Genomic DNA, 21,904 nt, shown 5'->3' on the forward strand with positions numbered 1-21,904 from the left:
AGAGGTTGCAGTGAGCCGAGATCGCACCATTGCACTCCAGCCTGGGCAACAAGAGTGAAACTCCATCTCAAAAAAAAAAAAAAAAAAAAAAAAGAATATGAGAGAACTAGGGAAGTGTAGGCACTGAATAATTATCTGACTAAAGAGTTATTAATTTTTAGGAATAATGTATTTATGATCAAAGTTTTAAAGTCTTTATATTTTGGAGATATATACGGACAGTAAATACTTATGAATACAATGATTTATCTAAGATTTGTTCAAAAACTCTGGCTTAGGAAGGTGGGAGTATAGATGAAACAATGTCAATCCAAGTTGATAATTGTTGAAGATGAGTAATGGGTATATTGGGATACGTTCTACTACTCCATTTCAGTTCAAGAATAACTTCTATTAACAATCTTGTATGTATGATTAATACAAACTGTTAGAGTTAGCAAGCAGCTGTTGGGAAGATGAAGTTATTTTAACATGAGAAAATAAGAATGTAAGTAATAAACTAGTGACTAAAATCTTCACAGTTATTTTAACTTTACATAAGGAGATCCCTGCAACTTAAGAATTTTCATTATTTAGGACTTCAATCTAGCTGGCAACTCCTCGGGTGAGATGCCTGGGCAGACCACAGACTTTGGGTTATCCAACAACAGGACCCACTTCCAATAGGTTAGGTTACTCCAGAGGTTAATACTGGCTCTGGAGGAAAGAATAATGGCCTCCCAAAGATGTCCACACCCTAATCCCTGGAAGCTGTGAATGTTACCTTCTGTAGTGAAAGGGGCTCTGCAGATGTGATTAGGTTAAGGATCTTGATATAGGGCAGTTATCTGATTTTCTGAGTGGGTTATGTAACTGAGCTCAATGTAGTCATAAGTATCCTTATAAGAGGAAGCAAGAGGGCCTAAATGAGCAGCAGGGCATGTGATAACAAAAGACAAAGGTTGAAGTGATACAAGGAAGGGGCCATGAGCCAAAAAAAATGAATGCATTCTCTAGATACTGATAAAAGCAAGAAAATGGATTCTTCCCTCAGAGTCTTCAGAAGGAAAACAACCCTGCTAACACTTTGCTTTTAGATTTCTGACTTCCAGAACTGCTAAGAGAATAAATTTGTGTTGTTTTGAGCCTCTAAATCTGTGGCAATTTGTTACAGTCGCAATAGGATAAGAGCACAATGACCAACGGTAAAATTTAAAGAAGTGCTATTGTACAACAATACTTTCAGAGGATTAGTAATTGGCATATGGATAAATTATCATTAAACTTGAATGCACAAATGCCTTAGAGGCCAATTATTGGGAAGTTGTACATAAAAAAACTATTGTTGTTACAGCCTGGGAAACATAGCAAGACCCTGCGTCTATTAAAAAAAAATTTAGAAATTAGCCAGACAGAGTGGGGCAGGCCTGTAGTCCAAGCTACTCTGGAGGCTGAGGTGGGAGGATCACTTAAGCCCAGGAATTCAAGGCTGCAGTGAGCTAGGATCACACGACTACAGTCCAGCCTGGGCAACGGAGCAAGACCCTGTCTCTGCCAAAAATTTAAAAATAAAAAAAATGTGAATACTATTGTTAGAAAGATGCTATCACTAATACCACATAATACACTAAATCAATAATCATAATAATGAAGTTAATTTAATAGTATTTATAACAGGACAAAAACAGCAATATTTAAAAACTGTGACCCACTCAAAATAATACTTGCTGTAGCAAAAAGTGGTGTAATTCCATTAATTTGCATGCACAAGCTCTAAAATGTTGCTAATTTTTATAGATAGCTGGGCTTCTTAGAATACGATTTAAGGCTTTGAATAAACTCTAATAACACAGCAATTTTACTTTATGATCACCAAATCTAAATTATGAATAACTCACCTAGTATGTAAAAATCAGTTACAGGAAGTTGGATCATCTCTAGGCTCTCCAGGAAGACACTCATTGACTATATTCTAAGAATTGCTGAACTAAATCATTTTTGCAGTTCCTTCCACTTCAGAAAGCTTTTGGATTCAAGGTACCCAACCTGAATTAGAATCTTAAAGATTTTCTCAACTGAGAGCATAAAAAAGATTCATACATATTTTTTAAATTGTTGCTTTCTTCTAAAAAATCATTTATAAAATCAATTTTTAATACAATAAAAGATTTTGCCCTCTAATAAAACTTATGAAGCAGTTTCCTTTGCTTCAAGAGATAAAAGAAATAATACTTCGGAAATACTTCAAAAGATAGGCCAGGTGCAGTGGCTCACGCCTGTAATCTCAACACTTTGGGAGGCTAAGGCGGGCGGATCACTTGAGGTCGGGAGTTCGAGACCAGCCTGACCAACATGGAGAAACCCCGTCTCTACTAAAAATACAAAATTAGCCGGGCGTGGTGGCGCATGCCTGTAATCCCAGCTACTTGGGAGGCTGGGGCAGGAGAATTGCTTGAACCCAGGAGGCAGAGGTTGCAGTGGGCCAAGATCGTGCCATTGGACTCCAGCCTGGGCAACAAGAGCGAAACTCCGTTTCAAAAAAAAAAAATCAAGATAGAGTGACTATCCTTAAGTTGAGGAACATATTCAATTTTCTCTAATCTACAAAGATATTTCACTTCTTTAGTCTACCTCAATCAGGTCATAAAACTTTGACTCTTTAAAGCATTTTGAGCAGTTAATTTCTAGAGTGAAAACTGTAAACTTTCAAAAGATAGTTTTAGACATATATTAAAAAGTATTCTCATGTTGTGTGGCATATAAGTACCACATATAGAAAGATAGATTTAATCTATACTTTTTAGTACCTGCCATCTAAGACAAACAGCACTACCAGAAAAATAGAACCATATGCAACTAGAATAACAAGTGAGCAAATGTGTTTTAAAAATATATAGTATTGGGCAGGGCACGGTGGCTCATGCCTGTAATCCCAGCACTTTAGGAGGCCGAGGCAGGCGGATCATGAGGTCAGCAGTTCAAGACCAGCCTGGCCAATATGGTGAAACCCTGTCTCTACTAAAAATACAAAAATTAGCCAGGCATGGTGGCGCTCGCCTGTAGTCCCAGCTACTCAGGAGGCTGAGACAGGAGAATGATGTGAACCCGGGAGACAGGAGGTTGCAGTGAGCCGAGATTATGCCACTGCACTCCAGCCTGGGTGACAGAGCGAGACTCTGTCTCAAAAAATAACATATAGTATTGGCTGGCTGCAGTGGCTCATGTCTGTAATCCTAGCACTTTGGGAGACTGAGGCAGATGGATAGCCTGAGGTCAGGAGTTCCAGACCATCTGGCCAACATGGTGAAACCCCGTCTCTACTAAAAATACAAAAAAATTAGCCTGGTGTGGTGGCGTGCACCTGTAATCCCAGCTACTCGGGAGGCTGAGGCAGGCAAACTGCTTGAATCAGGGAGATGGAGGTTCCAGTGAGCCGAGACCATGCCACTGCACTCCAACCTGGGCAACAGAGCGAGACTCTGTCTCAATAAAAAAAAATTTGTATTATGTTCAAGAAGGAAAGCAAATGAATAATAAAGTCAGATTTTTTTCACAACCTCACCCCAAGATCACTGTAATAGTCTTTTTTTTTTTTTTTTTTTTTTTTTTTTTTTGAGACAGCATTTCACTCTTGTCACCCAGGCTGGAGTGCAATGGCATGATCTCAGCTCACTGCAACTTCAGCCTCCCGACTTCAGACAATTCTCATGTCTCAGCCTCCCGGGTAGCTGGGATTACAGGTGCCCGCCACGCCACCTGGCTAATTTTTGTATTTTTAGTAGAGATGGGGTTTCACCATGTTGGCCAGGCTGGTTTTGAACTCCTGACCTTAGGTGATCTGTACGCCTCGGCCTCCCAAAGTGCTGAGATTACAGGCGTGAGCCACTGAGCCCGGCCTTGTAATACTCTCTTAATATTCACTCCTCCAAATCATTTTATACACTGCTTTCAGATTCATCTACATAAAAATACTAAATGACAAACCATTACTTGCAGAATCAAATCCAAAATCCCTGGTCTAGCACTCAAAGCCTTCCATAAATTTGGTCTCTATCTGGCATATCCATCATTATTCCTCTAAACATCACTCACTTCCTTCCATCCTGCCTTAATATTTTTTACTAATTATACCCTGAATAAACTGAGCAATTAATTCCATATTTAGCCTTGCCTCTTGCTATTCTCTCACCTGGCATGGTTTCCTTGCTCATTTTCAATCCTATGATCCCTACGTTCATGTGCAATTCAAAGTTTATGTTCTCTTAAGAAAGCTTCTCCAACTACTCTAGTGTGGAGCAATCACTGAATCTTCACAGGCTTCTCCTGACTTTTAATTATTTATCTTTTTGTAGAGAAGGCTTAATATTAATAGTTATAATAACAATAAAAATAGTTGCTTTTATTTAATGGATGTTTACGTATGTGTAGCCTTGTAATAGGCACTTCATAGACATATTTTCTCAATTAATATTGAAAATAACTTTGGGAGGTAGATATTACAATTATCTCTATTTATAAGGAAACTAGAAACCTGGAGAATTTACTACCCAAGTCATACAACTAAGTGACAGGGCTCAGATTTTAACATGTAGCTAAATGTCTTACAGAGCTCATGTTCTGATCCACTTCTCCCAGATCTAAACAGTAACTAGCTTAGACCAAGCAGTTCAAAGGTGATTATTTTATAGTTAACTCAAAAGTGGACCTCAACGTTAGTTTCAAATACAGAATATTTCAGTAGTTTACACTGAAATTATTGGTATTATTTTCTCTAAAATTAGCTATAATATTTCACAGAAGGAACCTAATGAACAAGAAAAGAAAAACTGTTCTCACTACTTGTATTTTTATTATTTTTTTGAGACGGAGTTTCGCTCTTGTTGCCCAGGCTAGAGTGCAGTGGCGCGATCTCAGCTCACTGCAACCTCTGCCTCCCAGGTTCAAGCAATTCTCCTGCCTCAGCCTCCTCGGTAGCTGGGATTACAGGTGCCTGCCACCACGTCCGGCTAATTTTTTTGTATTTTTAGTAGAGACAGGGTTTCATCATGCTGGCCAGGCTGGTCTCGAGCTCCTGACCTCAGGTGATCCACCCGCCTCAGCCTCCCAAAGTGCTGGGATTACAGGTGTGACGCACCGTGCCCGGCCTCTCACTACTTTTCAAACAACTTTTAACTTCTCAATATCAACAAAATTTGGAATAGTAAATGACTAAGACCGGGCGCAGTAGCTCATGCCTGTAATCCCAGCACTTTGGGAGGCTGAGGCAGGTGGATCATCTGAAGTTGGGAGTTTGAGACCATCCTGACCAACATGGAGAAACCCTGTCCCTACTACAAATACAAAAAATTAGCCAAGCATGGTGGCACATGCCTGTAATCCCAGCTACTCAGGAGGCTGAGGTAGGAGAATTGCTTGAACCAGGAGGCGGAGGTTGCGGTGAGCAGAGATCACGCCACCGCACTCCAGAAATGACTAAAACTTTATTACTTTAGCCAAAGGAGTCTGGTAATAAAATGTAATAACATTTACTTGGATACATACTTTGAAAAGTAACAACAAATTTTAAGACACTTTATTCAGAAATATAGGTATGTAGTCAACATCTTAGTAGTAAAGTATTCAGAGACAGACAGATTTCAGTTCTATCGCTTAAGCTGTGAAGTCTTAGAGAAGATAATTAACCTCTCTGAGCCTATTTCCCTACCTCTAAAAGTGAGGATAAACAAATATCTACCTTTAATAGCTGTTATGAGGACAGTCTAACAAAGCATACACTTAAAAACAGCAACTGATATTTTTAATATCACTAGAAGACCAAAAGTATTTGAGTTGAAAGAATCTAAGTCCATTAGATATAAAAAAAGGTAAAGTTTATCATAAAATAAACATTAAGTTCTACAGACAAGGCTTAATATTAACTTTTCTTCTGAAATTATAGTAAAAATAAAGTAACTTACCATCCGTTTTTCATTTAAATCAATGTGACAACAGCCTTCTTCATAAGCCAAGAATTTCCACACCCATTTTCTTCTCTACTAACAATTTATTTTAAAGTTTAACTTTTTTTGATCATTTAAGAACCCCAAACAAGACTGAACCAGGAATTCAAGAAAGGCTGGGACCAAGTTAATATTAGTCAGCAAAACTGCATTTTGCTATCAATCATTAGACTGTTCCTACACTGGAGCCTGAACAAAGGACATTCACTAAACTAAAATTTACAAACACCGCAATCTAATAGTGACTCTCAATTCCACAGCAATATAAAAGACATAAAAGTTGGGCTCTACCTTATTCCAACAATGTAAATTTGTTAAAGAATCTACCACCTAACTAATGATAAAGCTACCAGCTGACTACATTTTACTGAAGGGGGCACCTTTACTTTAGGTAACAGAAATATTTCTAAGAGTCTATACATCAATATATAATGGAGTCACTCAAAATGCAACAAGAGAATTGAAAATGAAATTATTCTGGAGTAAAATCTTTTTGTACAGTGAGAAAAAAATGACAAATCATCATTTAGTCCATCCTACTAGTGATTTTGTTTTAATGTATTAGGTAAGGTATACTTTTCCTGCTACCCACTACTTGTTTAATTTCAGAATTCAATTATGATCACAGGGTAGAAATGTTTATTAAATCTTTATATTTTTATAAAAAGAATATATGTGGCAATTGCTCTTATTTTAACTGTTTCATTCCCACTATTACTCATAGCTGCATGTGATTTGAGATTTGGAGGCATTTAATTTCCTCAAATGTTAACATTCTCTTGATTTCACTTAAGACAAAGAGGTTTTGGGAGAAAACAAATTATTCTATCAGTATGTCTTTCACTATATGGCTGGAAGGATAGATAAAATAAGAGGAGGAGGATGGAGCAGAAATATCAGAAAACTGGTGTGCTCCAACAAACTTTAAGCTATTTGCAATTTTCATTTTTTTTTTTTTTTTTTTTTTTTTAGAGACCGAGTCTGACTTTGTCGCCCAGGCTGGAGTGCAGAGGCGCTATCTTGGCTTACTGCAACCTCCACCTCCCAAGTTCAAGCAATTCTCGTGCCTCAGCCTCCCAAGTAACTGGGACTACAGGCATGTGCCACCACACCTGGCTAATTTTTGTATTTTTAATAGAGACAGGGTTTCGCCATTGTTGCCCAGGCTGGTCTTGAACTCCTGAGCTCAGGTAATCCACCCATCTCGGCCTCCCAAAGTTCTAGGATTACAGGTGTGAGCCACCATGCCTAGCTAGCTATCTGTAATTTTCATATCATTTAAAGTATCTGTAATTCTCAAGGAGTTAAAGCATTATTTTAAAAATACTTTTTAAAAGTTTGTTGTTAATATATTTTAAAAACAAAACCCTAGCTTACATCAAACACTTCACAGTTACAGATGATAGAACCTATGTCATATATGAACTACTCACCGAAGTTCGATCAGGTTCTCCATCTGCCAAACCTCCCTCCATAATGAAAGAAGATAGGTTTATGCTTCTCTTTCCATTAATGTGCAGCCATTCTGTAAATCTGCAAATCCTAAAATAAGAAAATGATATTTATTAGGACTGGTATAAAACTGTGACAAGTAGAAATAAAGCATTGAGTTTGTTAGAAGGGAAAAATCATTTTAGTCTGAGGTTATTTGGAAATTCAATAATTAAAAAAAAAATTGACATGGGCTTGAAGAATGGTAAAGGTTCAGAGAAAAATGAAAGAAGAAAAAAATATTCCAAGTGAAGAAAAATAGTAAGAGCAAGGTTAAACATGAGACTGCCTAAAATTTGAAAGGATGCATAAATCTACTTACAACTAATGAAATAAATTAGTTTTTCATTATTACATTGGTAAAAACTAAAAAGTATGCTAAAATCCATCATGGGAGAGAATGTGGGGAAACAGATATTCTCATGTACTTTTGTTATGAGAATATAAATCAGGACAATTTTTTGAAGGACAATTAAAAATATGTATGTTTTAATCCAGCAATTTCAAGACTAGAAATTTTCCCACAGATATACAAATGCCCAGAAATATATAAACAATTCCAACACAGTAATAAATCTGATGAAAAAAACTAGAAACAACTTAAATGTTGATGGCTAGAAGCTTCCTTAAATTATATTACAGACATACAATAGAATATCATGCAGCAATTTTAAAAAATGAAGTAGATCTATATATACTAAACTGGAAAGAGGATCACAACACATAAGGTGGGAAATGTGAGTGATGGAACATTTTATATATATAAGATACTCTTTGCTTCTGTATATTTCCATTTTTACCATGAATATGTATATCTACAGGCATGCCTTGTTTTATTGTGTTTCGCTTTACTGCACAAAGAGATACTGCCTTTTTTACAAAATGAAGGTTGGTGACAGCCTTGCAGCAAGTAAGTCTATCGGTACTTTTCCAACAGCATGTGCTCACTTTGTGTCTCTGTGTCATAGTTTGGTAACTCTCAAATATTTCAACCCTTTTCATTAAAGTATCTGTTCAGCAATCTGTGATCAATAATCCTTGATATTACTATTGTAATCATTTTGGGGCACCACAAACTGCAGCCATATAAAACAAGTAACTGAACTGATAAATGTAGGAGGTTTTGACTGTTCCACCCATCTGCCATTCTCCCATTTTCTCTTTCTCCCGGCTCTTCTCTATTCCATCAGTCACAATAATATTGAAATTAGTCCAATTAATAACACTACAAAGGCCTCTAAGTGTTCAAGTAAAAGGAAGACCCACATATTTCACTTTAAATCAAAAGCTAAAAATGATTAAGCTTAGTGAGGAAGGCATGTCAAAAGCCAGAAGCATGGCCTCTTACACCAAACAGCCATGTTGTGAATGCAAAGTAAAAGTTCTTGGAAGAAATTAAAAGTCCTATTCCAATGAACACACAAATAAGAAAGCAAAACAGCCTTATTGCTGATATACAGCAAGTTTGAGTGGTCTGGATAGAAGATCAGGCTAATTATATAGGCAAGGCCCTAACTCTCTTCAATTCTATACAGGCTGAGAGAGGTGAGAAAGCTGCAGAAGAGAAGTTTCAAGCCAGCAGAGGTTGGTTCATGAGGTTTAAGGAAAGAAGCCATCTCTATAACATCAAAATGCAAGGTGAAGTAGCAAGTGCTACTTGGAGAAACTGCAGTAAGTTATCCAAAAGATCTAGCTAAGATCATTGATGAACATGGCTACACTAAACAACAGGTTTTCAATATAGATGAAATAGCCTTCTATTAGAAGATGCCATTAAGGACTTTCATATCTAGAGAGGAGAAGTCAATGCCAGACTTCAAAGCTGCAAAGGACAAACTGACTCTCTTGTTAGGGGCTAATGCAGCTGGTGGTTTGAAGTTGAAGCCAATGTTCATTTACCATTCCAAAAATTCTAGGGCCCTTTCAAGAATTATGCTGTAACTACTCTGCCTGTGCACTATAAATAAAACAACAAAGCCTGTATGATAGCACATCTGTTTACAGCATGGTTTACTAAAATTTTAAGCTCACTGTTGAGACTACTGCTAAGAAACAATATTCCTTTCAAAATATTACCACTCACTGACAATGCACTTGGTCACCCAAAAGTTCTGGTGGAGATGTACAAAAAGATTAATGTTGTTTTCATCTCTAACGCAACATCTATTCTGCAGTCCATGAATCAGGGAGTAATTTTAACTTCCATGTCTTATTATTTAAGAAATACATTCAGTAAGGCCATAAGCTGCCAGAGATAGTGATTCCTCTGATGGATCTGGGCAAAGTTTGAAAACCTAATGGAAAAGATTCACCATTCTAAATGTCACTAAGTACACTTGTGAGTCACAGGAGGAGGTCAAAATACCAACATTCGCAGGAATTTGGAAGAAGTTGATTCCAACCCTTACGGATGACTTTGTGCATTTCAAGACCTCAGTGCAGGAAGTTGCTACTGATGTGGCGAAAATAGCAAGACAACTAGAATTAGAAGTGGAGTCTGAAGATGTAACTGAATAGCTGCAATCTCAAGACAAAACTTGAATGAATGAGGACTTACTTCTTATGGATGAACAAAGAAAGTGGTTTCTGAAGATAGAATCTACTCCTGGTAAAGATGCTGTGAACACTGCTGAAATTGACAGGGACAGGGGACAGAGAAATTCTAGGCAGAAAACGGCAGGTCCCTGGCAAAAGCCCCACCCTCAAGTCGAAAAGCGTGAAACGGCAGACCAAAACAAGAACTTATATCCCTGTTTTCCGGCTCGAATGTTGCCTTTTCCTAAACCACCCATGGACCTGTCCTGCCCAACCCCATCCTATGCCTATAAAGACCCCAGACTCAGCCCGAAGAGAGGAGAAGCTGCTGGACGTCGGGGACTATGGCTGGACGTTGGAGAGAAGCAGCTTGACCTCAGAAAGAGCCTGATGGCGTAACTTCAGAGAAGAATCCGGTCGGAGAAGGCTGGGCTTCAGGGAAAGATTACCTACCTGCCCCATCCCCTTTTCAGCTCCCCTTCTGGTTAAGAGCCACTTTCATGGCAATAAAATCCCCCACATTTACCATCTTTCAATTTGTTCATGTAACCTCATTTTTTTCCTGGACACTGGACAAGAGCTTGGGAGCCACAAGTGTGGATACAAAAGGCTGTCACACTGGCCCCTTGCCCTTATTGGCAGAAGGCAGCCATCTCATGCAAAAAGGCAGAGGGCCCACTGAATTGTTGTTAACACTTAAGCCACCCACAGACAGCAGAGCTAACAGAGCACTGTAATATGCCCTCTGGGGCTTCAGGAGTCACAGGCACCCCACTTGGATGCTGCAGCAGAGCCTGCACGGAGTTCGCTCCTGCCAGTGCCCAAAAGCACTCGCTCTGACTCCTGCACCTGCTCACCTACACACTCCCTCCTGCAAGGGGTGGAACACAGCAGGTCCAAGTGAGTGGAGTTTGATCCTGCTGACACTGAAATGGCCACCCAGTTCCAGTGCTCATGCACTCCATTTCCCACGTTGTTCACTCACTCACTCCCTCTCATGAGGAGTGGAGAGTAGCAGGCTGAGTAAATGAGGCACCCCTGTCAGGAGTTCCATGAAGGGGTCAGGGAAATATCCTACTTCAAAAAGAAAAAAAGATTTAGAATACTACATAAATTTAGTTGATAAAACAGCGGCAGGGTTCGAGAGGATTGACTTTTTCACTAACAAAACCTACAACCTGAACTCTCACAGTAACTATAAATATTCAGAGGTCTCGGATAACCTCTCTAACAATTATTCCTTCAAACAGATAACAAAGCCAAAACCAATAAAATCAGTAGACTTCTAATCATTTTCTTGGAGTTTCAAAAACATTTTCTTATTTCTACAAGTATAAAAGGCCTTACTGAAATATAAAGGCTGGTGAAAACATTATTTAATTGGACTTTGTAAGGTTGACATTTGGCTCCTTTGATATAATCAATAGAGTAGCCCAAGAGACTACTCTGACTTTCAATTTAGAAACATTATATAAACTTTCCTTGACTACATGTATTATAATATATGGTAATTATTTGTTCCCATGAGCCAATTCTCTTCAAGGACAGAGGCTATTTTACTGATCTGTTTTTCCAGTGCTTTGCATGGTAGACATTTCATTAACAGTTGTTGCACTTAACTAATACTGCCAACTCAATTATCTAAGTGAATAAATAAGAATCCAAAACAGCAGATGATATAAAAATTATGTCTATGGGATGCACACTGATACTTGTATTTGAATACTGCATTATTATATTCTAAAAATTTGCAATATTAACAACAAAATAACAAAATATCATAAGCAGCTTTTACTTTGAAAAATATTTTACTGATTTTTTTCATGATATCCATTCAATTTTAGGGATCCATCTATTCCTAGGTATTATACTGACCACTTTGAATACATCAATTTGCAAAGCAAACAAACCCTGCCCTCATGGAGCCTATATTCTGGAAGGGGAAGACAAACAATAAAAATAATAAATTAATAAATTATATATTAGAAGATAGTAAGTGCTATAGGAAAAAGTAAAACAGGCTAAGACTACCCAGGGATTAAAGGGTTACAATTTTAAATAGGATGGCCATAGTAGGTGTCATTGAAAAGGTGACATGTGAGCAATGATTTGAAGTAGGGAGAAAATTAGCTATGCAGATATCTGAGGGAAGAGTCTGCAGGTAAGAAGAAGCTGCCAGTGCCAAGGTCCTAAGGCAGAAGTTTGAGGAATAGGAGGAAAGCAATGTAGCTAGAACATATGTGAACGAAGGGAAAAGCAGAAAATGTTTCCCCACAGAGGTAAGGAAACAAAGTATAAGTAGATCATATTTGGTCCTGTGGGCCAGGTGTTTCCAATGCATGGGCCACAGACTGATACGGGTCTGTGGCCTGTTAGGACCTGGACCACACAGCAGGAGGTGAAAGGTGGGTGAGTGAGTGAAGCTTCATCTGTATTTACAGCAACTCCCCATAATTTGCATTACCACCTGAGCTCCGCCTGTCAGATCAGTGGCAGCATTAGATTCTCATAGGAGCATGAACACTATTGTGAACTGTGCACACGAAGAATCTAGGTTATCTGCTCCTTATGAGAATCTAATGCCTGATGGTCTGTAACTGTCTCCCGTACCCTCAAGATGGACCATCTAGCTGCAGGAAAACAAGCCCAGGGCTCCCACTGATTCTACATTATGGTGAGTTGTATAATTATTAAACAGAATACACAATAAGTGTAAATGAGCTTGAATCATCCTGAAACCATCACCGCCCTCCTGGTCTGTGCAAAACCTGTCTGCCACAAAACCAGTCCCTGATACTATAGGATATATAGATATATATAGATATATATAGATATTTTTTTTTTGCTTTCATTGTGTGCACGTACACACGTGCACATTCTGGGTCAAAATTTAAAATGCACTTCTTCCTCTAAGTTGCAGTCAAAAATAGTTGGAAACCACTGGTACAGTGCATTTGGAGTAGAATCTCCACTCTGCCACCCTATCATTTTCCACCAGCATGGCTGTGAGCAAGTCCATTGCCTTCTCTGAGTCTTTGTTTTCTCATTTGCAAATAGGGAATATTATATGCTCTACATACTTCACAGGATTGTTGAGAGGACCCCAATAACATAATGTGTGTGTAAGCTTTACACCAAAGCTCCAAACCAATCAAAATTTGCTTCACAGACCAAGAAGAGCTCTACAAGTATCCTCAATGACAGCGTTTTACTGGTGAGTTTTATAATTTACATGTTTTCATGTTACTAATTAGCACCCTTTCATTTCAGTTTGAAGAATTCTCTTTCATTTTTTTGTAAGGCAGGTTTACTGGTGGTTAACTCCCTCTGCTTTTCTTTTCTGGGAAAGTCTTCACGCCTCCCTAATTTCTGAAGAACAGTTTTGTCAGATAAAGTATTCTTGGTTTACAATTTTTTTCTTTCAGCACTTTAAATAAATATATTATTCTATTCTCTCTAGACCTGCAAAGTTTCTGCTGACAAATTCACTGATAGGCTAAAGGAGCTCCCTTGCATGTGAGGATCCTTTTTTTATCTTGCTGCTTTTAAAATTCTCTTTGACTTTTGACAATTTGATTAGATATGTCTTCTTTGGGTTGAATCTAGTTGGAGACCTTTGAGATTCCCATGCCTGGGTGTTTCTCTCTTTTCCAAGATCAGAGAAGTTTTCAGACATTAAATCTTTAAATAAGCTTTCTGTCTCTCTCTATTCTCCTTGAATTCTACAAATGTTAGCTCTTTTGATGATGTCCCTAAATCTGTAGGCTTTTCACTCCTTTTCATTCTTTTTCTTTTCTGATCAAATATTTCCAAATATCCAGTGTTTGAGTTTACCAGTTCTTTCTTATGCTTGATCAGTTCTGCTGTTAACAGTCTCTATTGCGCTGTTCTTTTTAATTATTCCAACCTCTCTGTTAAACTTCTAGTTTTGTTTGTATTGTTTTTCTGATTTCATTGAGTTGTCTGTGTTCTCCTGTAGTTCACTGAGCTTCCTTAAAATAATTATTTTGATTTTTCTTTGACAGGCAATTCATAAATCTCCATTTGGGGAGGGTTGATTATTGGAAAATTATTGCATTCCTTTGGTGGTGTTATGTTTTCTTGCTTTTTCATGTTTCTTATTGCATTATGTTAAGGTTTGTTCATTGTATGGAGTAATCATCTCTTTCAGACTTTATAGTGGTTTTGGTAGGAAAAGGCCCTACCCTATGGCTACATTCTAGGGCACTGACTGGGTGGGAGTCTTTTACTCTAAGTGATATGAGAACCCACTGGAGGGTTCTGAGCAAGGAACAACATGATCTGAGATTTTTAGTTTCTCTGTATTGACAATTATAGTGAGAGAAGGGTAGAAACTGGGAATTCAGTTAAAAGGTTACTGCATTAATCTAGAAGAGAGAATATGATACAAGAATGAAGAAGAGAGCTATAAAAATACTGAGAAGAAGCAGAATTCTACATGAATTTTGAAGGTAGAAGCAACAGGATTTCCTGAAAAACTGAATATGGCGTGAGGATGAGAAAAGATACAAGATGACCTAGATTTCTGGCTCAAATGACTAGAAGGATGGTGATCATTAAATGAGATGGGAAAGACAGCAGGAGGAGTAAGGTTATCTTCTTTGGGAAAGCAGGGCAGAGGATAACCAAAAATTAGAAGTTTAGTTTTAGGAATATTAAGTTTGATATGTCTATTTCATATTCGTGTGGGCCTGTTAAGCAGGCAGTTGGATGTAAGAGTTTGCAGCTCAAAAAAGAGATCTGAGCTGGAGATAAAATTTGGGGAGTTAACATATTGATGGCATTTAAATCCATGAGACTGAATCAGACCACCAGGGAGTAGATACCAAAGGATGGATTTCAGAACTTCTTAGGCTTATGAGTCTACTTCTTAAGCTTCGGGGCCACTAATTAAATTAAAAATAAAAAGCTCATTACCAGTGTTACCTGCCTCAACAGAGCTGCCTTCTCTCTATTCCAAACTGTTGGCTGGTAAGACATCTGCAGAGCAGATAACGAGAACGTATTTAATTTCATTTTGGGTCCACTAATTAAAATAAAAAGGTCATTACTAGTATTACCTGCCTCAATATTCTAGCTATTTCCTTGGATTTTCTATAAACCAGTTATCTTCCAGTTCCTGTAAGCTGTATGTTATATGCAAAAGACATTAACAAAATATACAAATTCAGCAACATTAGGAAGAACATGGTCAGTAAACAATATAATAGCGCAGCATCATTTGACACATTTTTACTAAATGCCTCCCAAAGGAATTCAGTCCAATAAAAGAGGTCTAGCAAATAAATTACTATACAAGAGCTATATAACACATTTGGACAATGTACTGTGGTAGTTCAGACTAGTCCAAAGTGTTTGGGGGAAACTGCATAGTACTGAAGTCTGCTGCTGCCAAATGACTGGCATTTTAAAATACAGAACTATAACCAAACAAGAATACCAAAATATTATGCAAGTCTGATACTATGTCTCTATTCTCCAGACCTTGGAAAAATCATTCATAAAAGGCAAACGACAATGACACCTACTCTACACAGTTAAACAAGAAGAAAAACCACTGAATGATTTACATATTACTCTTCCATCACCATTAAAATGTCCAATAATTTAGTTATGACATCACACAAGGATCTGTCTAGGCAAGGTTCATCTTGATTAATCCTGTTGGCTCTAAAAGAGTTCTTTTCAGTCTGAAGACCTATCCTTCTCCAGTTCAGGGAAGTTTCTTCTGCTTTTTTTGTTAACCATTTCTTCCTTTCTAGTCTCTGTTCTTTCTTGCTAAAATTTGTATTAGAAAAATGTTGGAGCTCCATGTTTCTTGATTTCAATGTGATATTTAACATTCCATTTATTTTTGTGTACTTCCTGAAGTATCTTATCAACTTTATTTCCCAGATCACCTTACTTGCACATTCTACCAATTTACCATCTTTGGCCCATTTTATTCCTTAGCCCATCCACTGACTTTTAACTTTCGTCTTTTTTTAACGACACATTCTTATTCCCCAATTACACATTAGTCTCTTCTTGTTTCATGTCTGTAGTATTTTTTTTTTTGAATCTTTCTAACTACACAGGAATTTAAGTGCTCTGCTGTTTGGTGTTCTTCCGTCCAGGGAATCCTCTCTGTTTCCTCTGAAGTCATTTGTTACTTCTTCTTGACCCTTCCCCTTCTGTGCTGTTGGTTTTCCTCAAGTATCTGGTGATCCTGAGTTGTCTAACATGTTGATGAATAAATGCTGTGTAATTTTTTTTTTTTTTTTGACAGTGTCTTGGTTATGCTGTTGCCCAGGCTAGAGTGCAGTGGCACAATCACAGCTCACTACAACCTCAACCACCTGGGTGCAAGCAATCTTCTCACCCCAGCCTCCTGAATAGCTGAGACCACAGCAGGCATGCACCACCAGACCTGGCTAATACATTTTTTTTTTTTTGAGACAGAGTTTCGCTCTTGTTGCCCAGGCTGGAGTGCAATGGCAGGATCTCAGCTCACTGCAACCTCCGCTTTCCAGGTTCAAGTGATTCTCCTGCCTCAGCCTCCCAAGTAGCTGGGATTACAGGAACCTGCCACCACGCCCAGCTAATATTTTGTATTTTTAGTAGAGATGGGGTTTCACCATGTTGGCCAGGCTGGCCTCGAACTCCTGACCTCAGGTGATCCACCCGCCTCAACCTCCCAAAGTATTAGGATTACAGGTGTGAGCCACCGTGCGTGGCCTTGGCTAATATTTTTAACTTGTGTAGAGATGTGGTGTCACTCTGTTGCTCAGGCTGGTCTTGAACTCCTGGCCTCAATCCTCTCACTTCAGCCTCCCAAAGTGCTGGGATTACAGACATGAGCCACCACGCCTGGCCCCATCCTTCATTTTTAACAGACAGTATGAATACTGAGGCTTTAATACCCTTAAGTGTTTGTACCTGATAAAAGAGACTCGGTTATGTACATTTCAGTGATGTGTTCCCACATTCCACAATACATGAACTAAGTAAGGAAATATTTTTATCAAAATTTTTTTAACTAAAGGGAGATAGATATTGCAGTGTATCTGTATAGCTTAGGAATCAGCAAATTTTTTTTTTTTTTTTGTAAAGGGCCACACAGCAAACAGATTTTACTTTCGACTTTGCAGATGATAGGATTTCTATTGCAACTACTTAGTTCTGATGTTGTAGCATGAAAGCAACCATAGAAAAATGAATAAACAAAATGAGTCTGATAAACTGTATTTACAAAAATAGGAGTAGAGCATACTTTGGTGATTCCTGGTGTAGTGTTTCAGGTTAACATCGCGTGTAAATAGCACAATTGTATGCATAATAAAGGAATCTTTCCTGGTGACCCCAAATCTTGCCCTCACAGTTTTTCTCCTTTGTTTAGCTCCACTTAGACCTACACCTAAACCCTAAAAGTAGCTTCTTTGCTCAGCATGTGTCTCACTACTAACTTTATCACTTTCTGAAGCAGTATGTTCCCTGTATGTTTTAATATTAGCTTCTTCTGAATTCTTCTCTACGTGGTTTTTATACTTCTGTCCAAACAACTTTTTTCTGAGTTTTGGTGCCCTTAAAGCCTAGGCAGCTTATGTAAGGGCTTAAGTGCATAAGGTCCTTTTTTACTGTACCTTTGTAACATGAGGCAAAAGAAGTATAGCTAAGACAGGAGTTTCTTTTGATTCTCTAATAACAGAAGAGACTCTTATATAACACTTCTCTCCATAACTTGTACAAGCAGTAGTGTGTTAGGATTGGGCATTTTTATATCAAAAATATTAACTAAGGAACACATGAATTTATATAGATTGTTTTTGTTGAACACTTTCAACACTTTTCAACACAAAGCAACTGTTTTTGTGTGAACATTTTCCTTATCATTCCATTTTAAGGATATGGATGCATTTTCAGTGACTAGCATGTGATAAATGCCCAATAAATGTTTGTTAGTCAATGAATGGCATATAGATATTTCTCAGGCAAATGATTTTTTAAAAATCAGTATTTGGGCTGGGCACAGTGGCTCACACCTGTAACCCTAGCACTTTGGGAGGCCCAGGCGGGCGGATCACCTGAGGTCATAAGTTCGAGACCAGCCTGGCCAACATGGCGAAACCCTGTCTACGTATATAAAGAAGAGGTCACACAATGTCAGGAAACTGGCTCTGATTCCTGATTCTGGTCCTTTTTCTAGCCAATATTTTAAAAAATCAAAAACTGTACATAACAGTATTAATTTAGGGTTTGTCTTGAAACTATGGATGCAACACTTAAGCAATGACTGATTAGAGCTGAGTAGCAGCCATCCACTTTACAAGGTGCAAGCACGCACCTCTCACACCATGTTTGCATCTGTACTTTCACTGTTTCACTCATTTTTGCTACCTGTCCAGGTTGTGTAAGTATTTGAGTCCTGACAACTGATTTAAAGTATCTATACAAGAATCCTTTTTAAAACAAAGAAATGTTCAAATGCTTTGAACGCAGACATTTTATAAGCTCTCATTTGAATTTCTTCTCTATCAGGTACCATCCTTTCTGTGACTAAGTTTTCTATCTATGCTTTTGAGCTAATCCCTCTGGCACTTAGTGGTAATAAAAGCCTCCCCACTTTTTTTTTTTTTTTTTTTTTTGAGACAGGGTCACCCAGAATGGAGTGCAGTGGTGCCATCACATCTCCCTGCAGCCTTGACCTCCCAGGCTCAGGTGATCATCTCACCTCAACCTCCAGACTAGCTGGGACTACAGGCACACACCACCATGCCCAGCTACGTTTATTGTTTTTTGTCTTTTATAAAGATGAAGTTTCACCATTGGGATGGTTAACACTGAGTGTCAACTTGATTGGATTGAAGGATGCAAAGTACTGATCCTGGGTGTTTCTGTGAGGGTGTTGCCAAAGGAGATTAACATTTCAGTCAGTGGACTGGGAAAGGCAGACCCACCCTTAATCTGGTGGGCATAATCTAATCATCCACCATCGAATATAAGGCAGGCAGGAAAACGTGAAAGGGGAGACTGGCCTAGCCTCCCAACCTACGTCTTTCTCCAGTGCTGGATGCTTCCTGCCCTCAAACATTGGACTCCCAAGTTCTTCAGTTTTGAGACTCAGGCTGGCTATCCTTGCTCCTCAGCCTGCAGACAGCCTGTTGTGGGACCTTGTGATCATGTAAGTTAATACTTAATAAACTCTATCTATCTATCTATCTATCTATCTATCTATCTATCTATCTATCATCTATCTATCTATCTAATCTATCTAATCTATCTATATCCTATTAGTTCTGTCCCTCTAGAGAACCCTAATACAGCCATGTTGCCCAGGCTGGTCTTGAATCCCTAGGCTCAAGCGATCAAGCGATCCTTCCACCTCGACCTCCCAAAGAGCTGGGATTACAGGCATGAACCAAAGTGCCCAGCCCAGTAAAAGCCTTTACTTCAATATCAATTTGTCAGCCAGGTACAGTAGCTCATGCCTGTAATCCCAGCACTTCAGGAGGCTGAGGTGGGCAGATCACCAGAGGTCAGGAGTTTGAGACCAGCCTGGCCAAAATGTTGAAACCTCGTCTCTACTAAAAATACAAAAATTAGCCGGGCATGGTGGCTAATCCCTGCTGTAATCCCAGCTACTCGGGAGGCTGAAGTAGGAGAATCACTTGGACCCGGGAGCGGAGGTTGCAGCAGGCAGAAATCACACCACTGCACTCCAGCCTGGGTGGCAAAGCGAGACTCCATCTCAAAAAAAAAAAAATTTGTCCTGTTAGTCCTTCCATTGCCCATAATGCTCAAGTTTCCCTTACTCTCAATAAGGCCCTTTTCTGTTCTAGTTGCCTCAAAGCTACCCTCCAATGATCCTTTACCTGCCCTGGAAGATTTCTTAAGAGTGTTCAAGCATTCATTTCCTCTATCTTTGCCCCTGCCTTCACGCCTACATATTATATCAGTTTTATACCTAGTTTTATAATCTAATGCACAGAAGTGATCATGTCGACTTAATATCAAAAACTTCAGCTGTGCTTATTAAAGATTTAAGTCCAAATCTTGCCTTGGCATTGGAGGGTAACAATTATTTTGCTTATACTTGCCTTTCTCAGTTATTGCTTGCTTTCTCTGACCCTTTGTGTCAGCCAAATTGAGTTATTTGCTATTCTGCATATACACCAGTGCCTTCATAGATCCTATTCTTATGACTTCATATTTCCATGCCTTTGCCTGCATTCTTCCTTCTAGAAAATATTTCTCTTGCAAAACCAAACCCAACCCACCCAGTGAAGTCCAAGTCATATATTACCTTCTTCACGAAGGCTTCCTTGATTTCCCCTAACTAGAAGTATTCTCTTGATTCTTGAACTTCCAAAGTTCATATATCACTTAATACTATTTAAGTTTTTAAAATTTGTTTATATAAATTTGTTAAAATTGCATATGTTCCTATCTTCCCTATAAGATTATATTTTTAACAATAATGGATTACAACATATTCATTTTATACTTTCCCCAATACTTTTATAGTTTCTTGCCCTGAATGAGTGGAGCCCATCAGTTTTAAAGTACAAATCTTCCTTCAAGGACTACATGCTGAAGAATTTAAAGATTTTCCTTCTTTTTTCTTTTTTTTCTTTTTTCTTATGACCAGGGTAAGAGAAAAAAAGAATTTCTTAAAAGTATAGATGTTAGAAACAAGCCTCTGCTTTTACAGGTGATCATAAAAACTGATTACCCAGGGGCCACATATATGTTTGGAACCATGTTTTACTCAGTCCTCACAAAGTCTGGCAAAGTCATTCTGCTAACGTTTGAATTTACTGACATATAAGCAGTTCAGTTACTACTGTGTACTTAACCACTTCAAAAATGCCCTTTTATCTGCCAGGTCCTAGTAGGCATCTGAGTTTGTGCCAGTAACTTTGGTTAATAAACTTATAAAATATTAGGTGATTTGTAATTATTTATTGAGTAATTGTATGTGTGTGTATCTTTACACACACACACACACACATAGACACATATACATAAGTGTGTGTTTTTATAATACCTTTGGGTGCTTTATTCATGTTTTCTTAGATTTAAATCCCAATTTATAATTAAAATAAATGCAGTGCCTTCCTCAACCCTCATTATCTGGAAATGTGGATTCCTTCCCAATACAATTTTCACTTAAATGAATCTTGCATTTTTTAACATGTAAGCTGGGGGTCAGCAAACTATAGCACACAATGTAAGAATGGTTTTTATGTTTTTAAAGGGCTATAAAGAAGAAGGAAAATAGAAGGGAGAGGGGAGAGAAGAAAAGGAGAATATGTAACAGAGACAATATGTAGTCCACAAAGCCTGAAATATTTACTATCTGGGCCTTTATAGTGAAGATATTTGTGTCCCATGTGAATGCTCACCAACAGGTGATCTTAGCAGAGAGGTATTTTAATGATCAAGGAAATAGGAGAGCCCATTCTGTGATACTAGTCAGCCTCTTTCTCCAGCCACTGCTGTCATTCCACAGTGGGCTCATGAACAAAGTAGCCATGGTGACAGGGATGGAGGTTATGCATGGCTCAGCAACATGGACTTCCACTCACCAAAGCTGACCTGGCTAGAGCCACCGCTGAGTGCCCAACTGACCAGCGGTAGAGATCAACACCAAGTCCTCAATACAGCATCACTGTGGAGGGTCATTAGCTAGTTGCCCAGTGGCAGGTAGATTACGTTGAGCTGCTTCCATCACGAAGGGGCAGCATTTTGTTCCTACTTGAATAAATTTCTCTTCCCTCCATGCAATGCTTCTGCCTGAACTAACATCCATAGACTTAGAGTGCCTCATCTACCATAATAGTAATACATACAGCATTGCTTTGGAAGAAGAAACTCATTTCACAGCAAATGTAGTACAG

At 38.4% G+C, this 21,904-nt stretch overlaps 1 protein-coding gene across 19 annotated transcripts in view, besides 1 other annotated feature; it reads right to left on the reverse strand.

Moving 5' to 3' along the window:
* The window catches only part of OSBPL8 (oxysterol binding protein like 8), a 207,975-nt gene that overhangs the window by 128,302 nt on the left and 57,769 nt on the right, over nucleotides 1-21,904 (reverse strand). For 16 of the 19 annotated variants that reach the window (NM_001003712.2, NM_001319653.2, NM_020841.5 and 13 more), the window contains one exon: nucleotides 7,412-7,520. Coding sequence is in view for 15 of the 19 variants with exons in the window: in XM_047428247.1 (XP_047284203.1) it covers nucleotides 7,412-7,520 (109 nt within the window). In the remaining 4 variants the exon portion in view is untranslated. Of the gene's footprint in view, nucleotides 1-5,936; nucleotides 5,989-7,411; nucleotides 7,521-21,904 lie in introns of those variants that run through there. The other 3 variants (XM_047428255.1, XM_047428253.1, XM_047428252.1) reach the window with 1 other exon arrangement.
* Nucleotides 10,323-10,824: an enhancer, noted in NCBI's record as "H3K27ac hESC enhancer chr12:76884201-76884702 (GRCh37/hg19 assembly coordinates)". NCBI's record gives its function as "activates a minimal SCP1, AML or CMV promoter by ChIP-STARR-seq in primed H9 embryonic stem cells {active_cell/tissue: H9 hESC(primed)}" and the evidence as "EXISTENCE:reporter gene assay evidence [ECO:0000049][PMID:30033119]".

Source organism: Homo sapiens, chromosome 12 (assembly GCF_000001405.40).
Source record: "Homo sapiens chromosome 12, GRCh38.p14 Primary Assembly".
Classification (NCBI taxonomy): domain Eukaryota; kingdom Metazoa; phylum Chordata; class Mammalia; order Primates; family Hominidae; genus Homo; species Homo sapiens.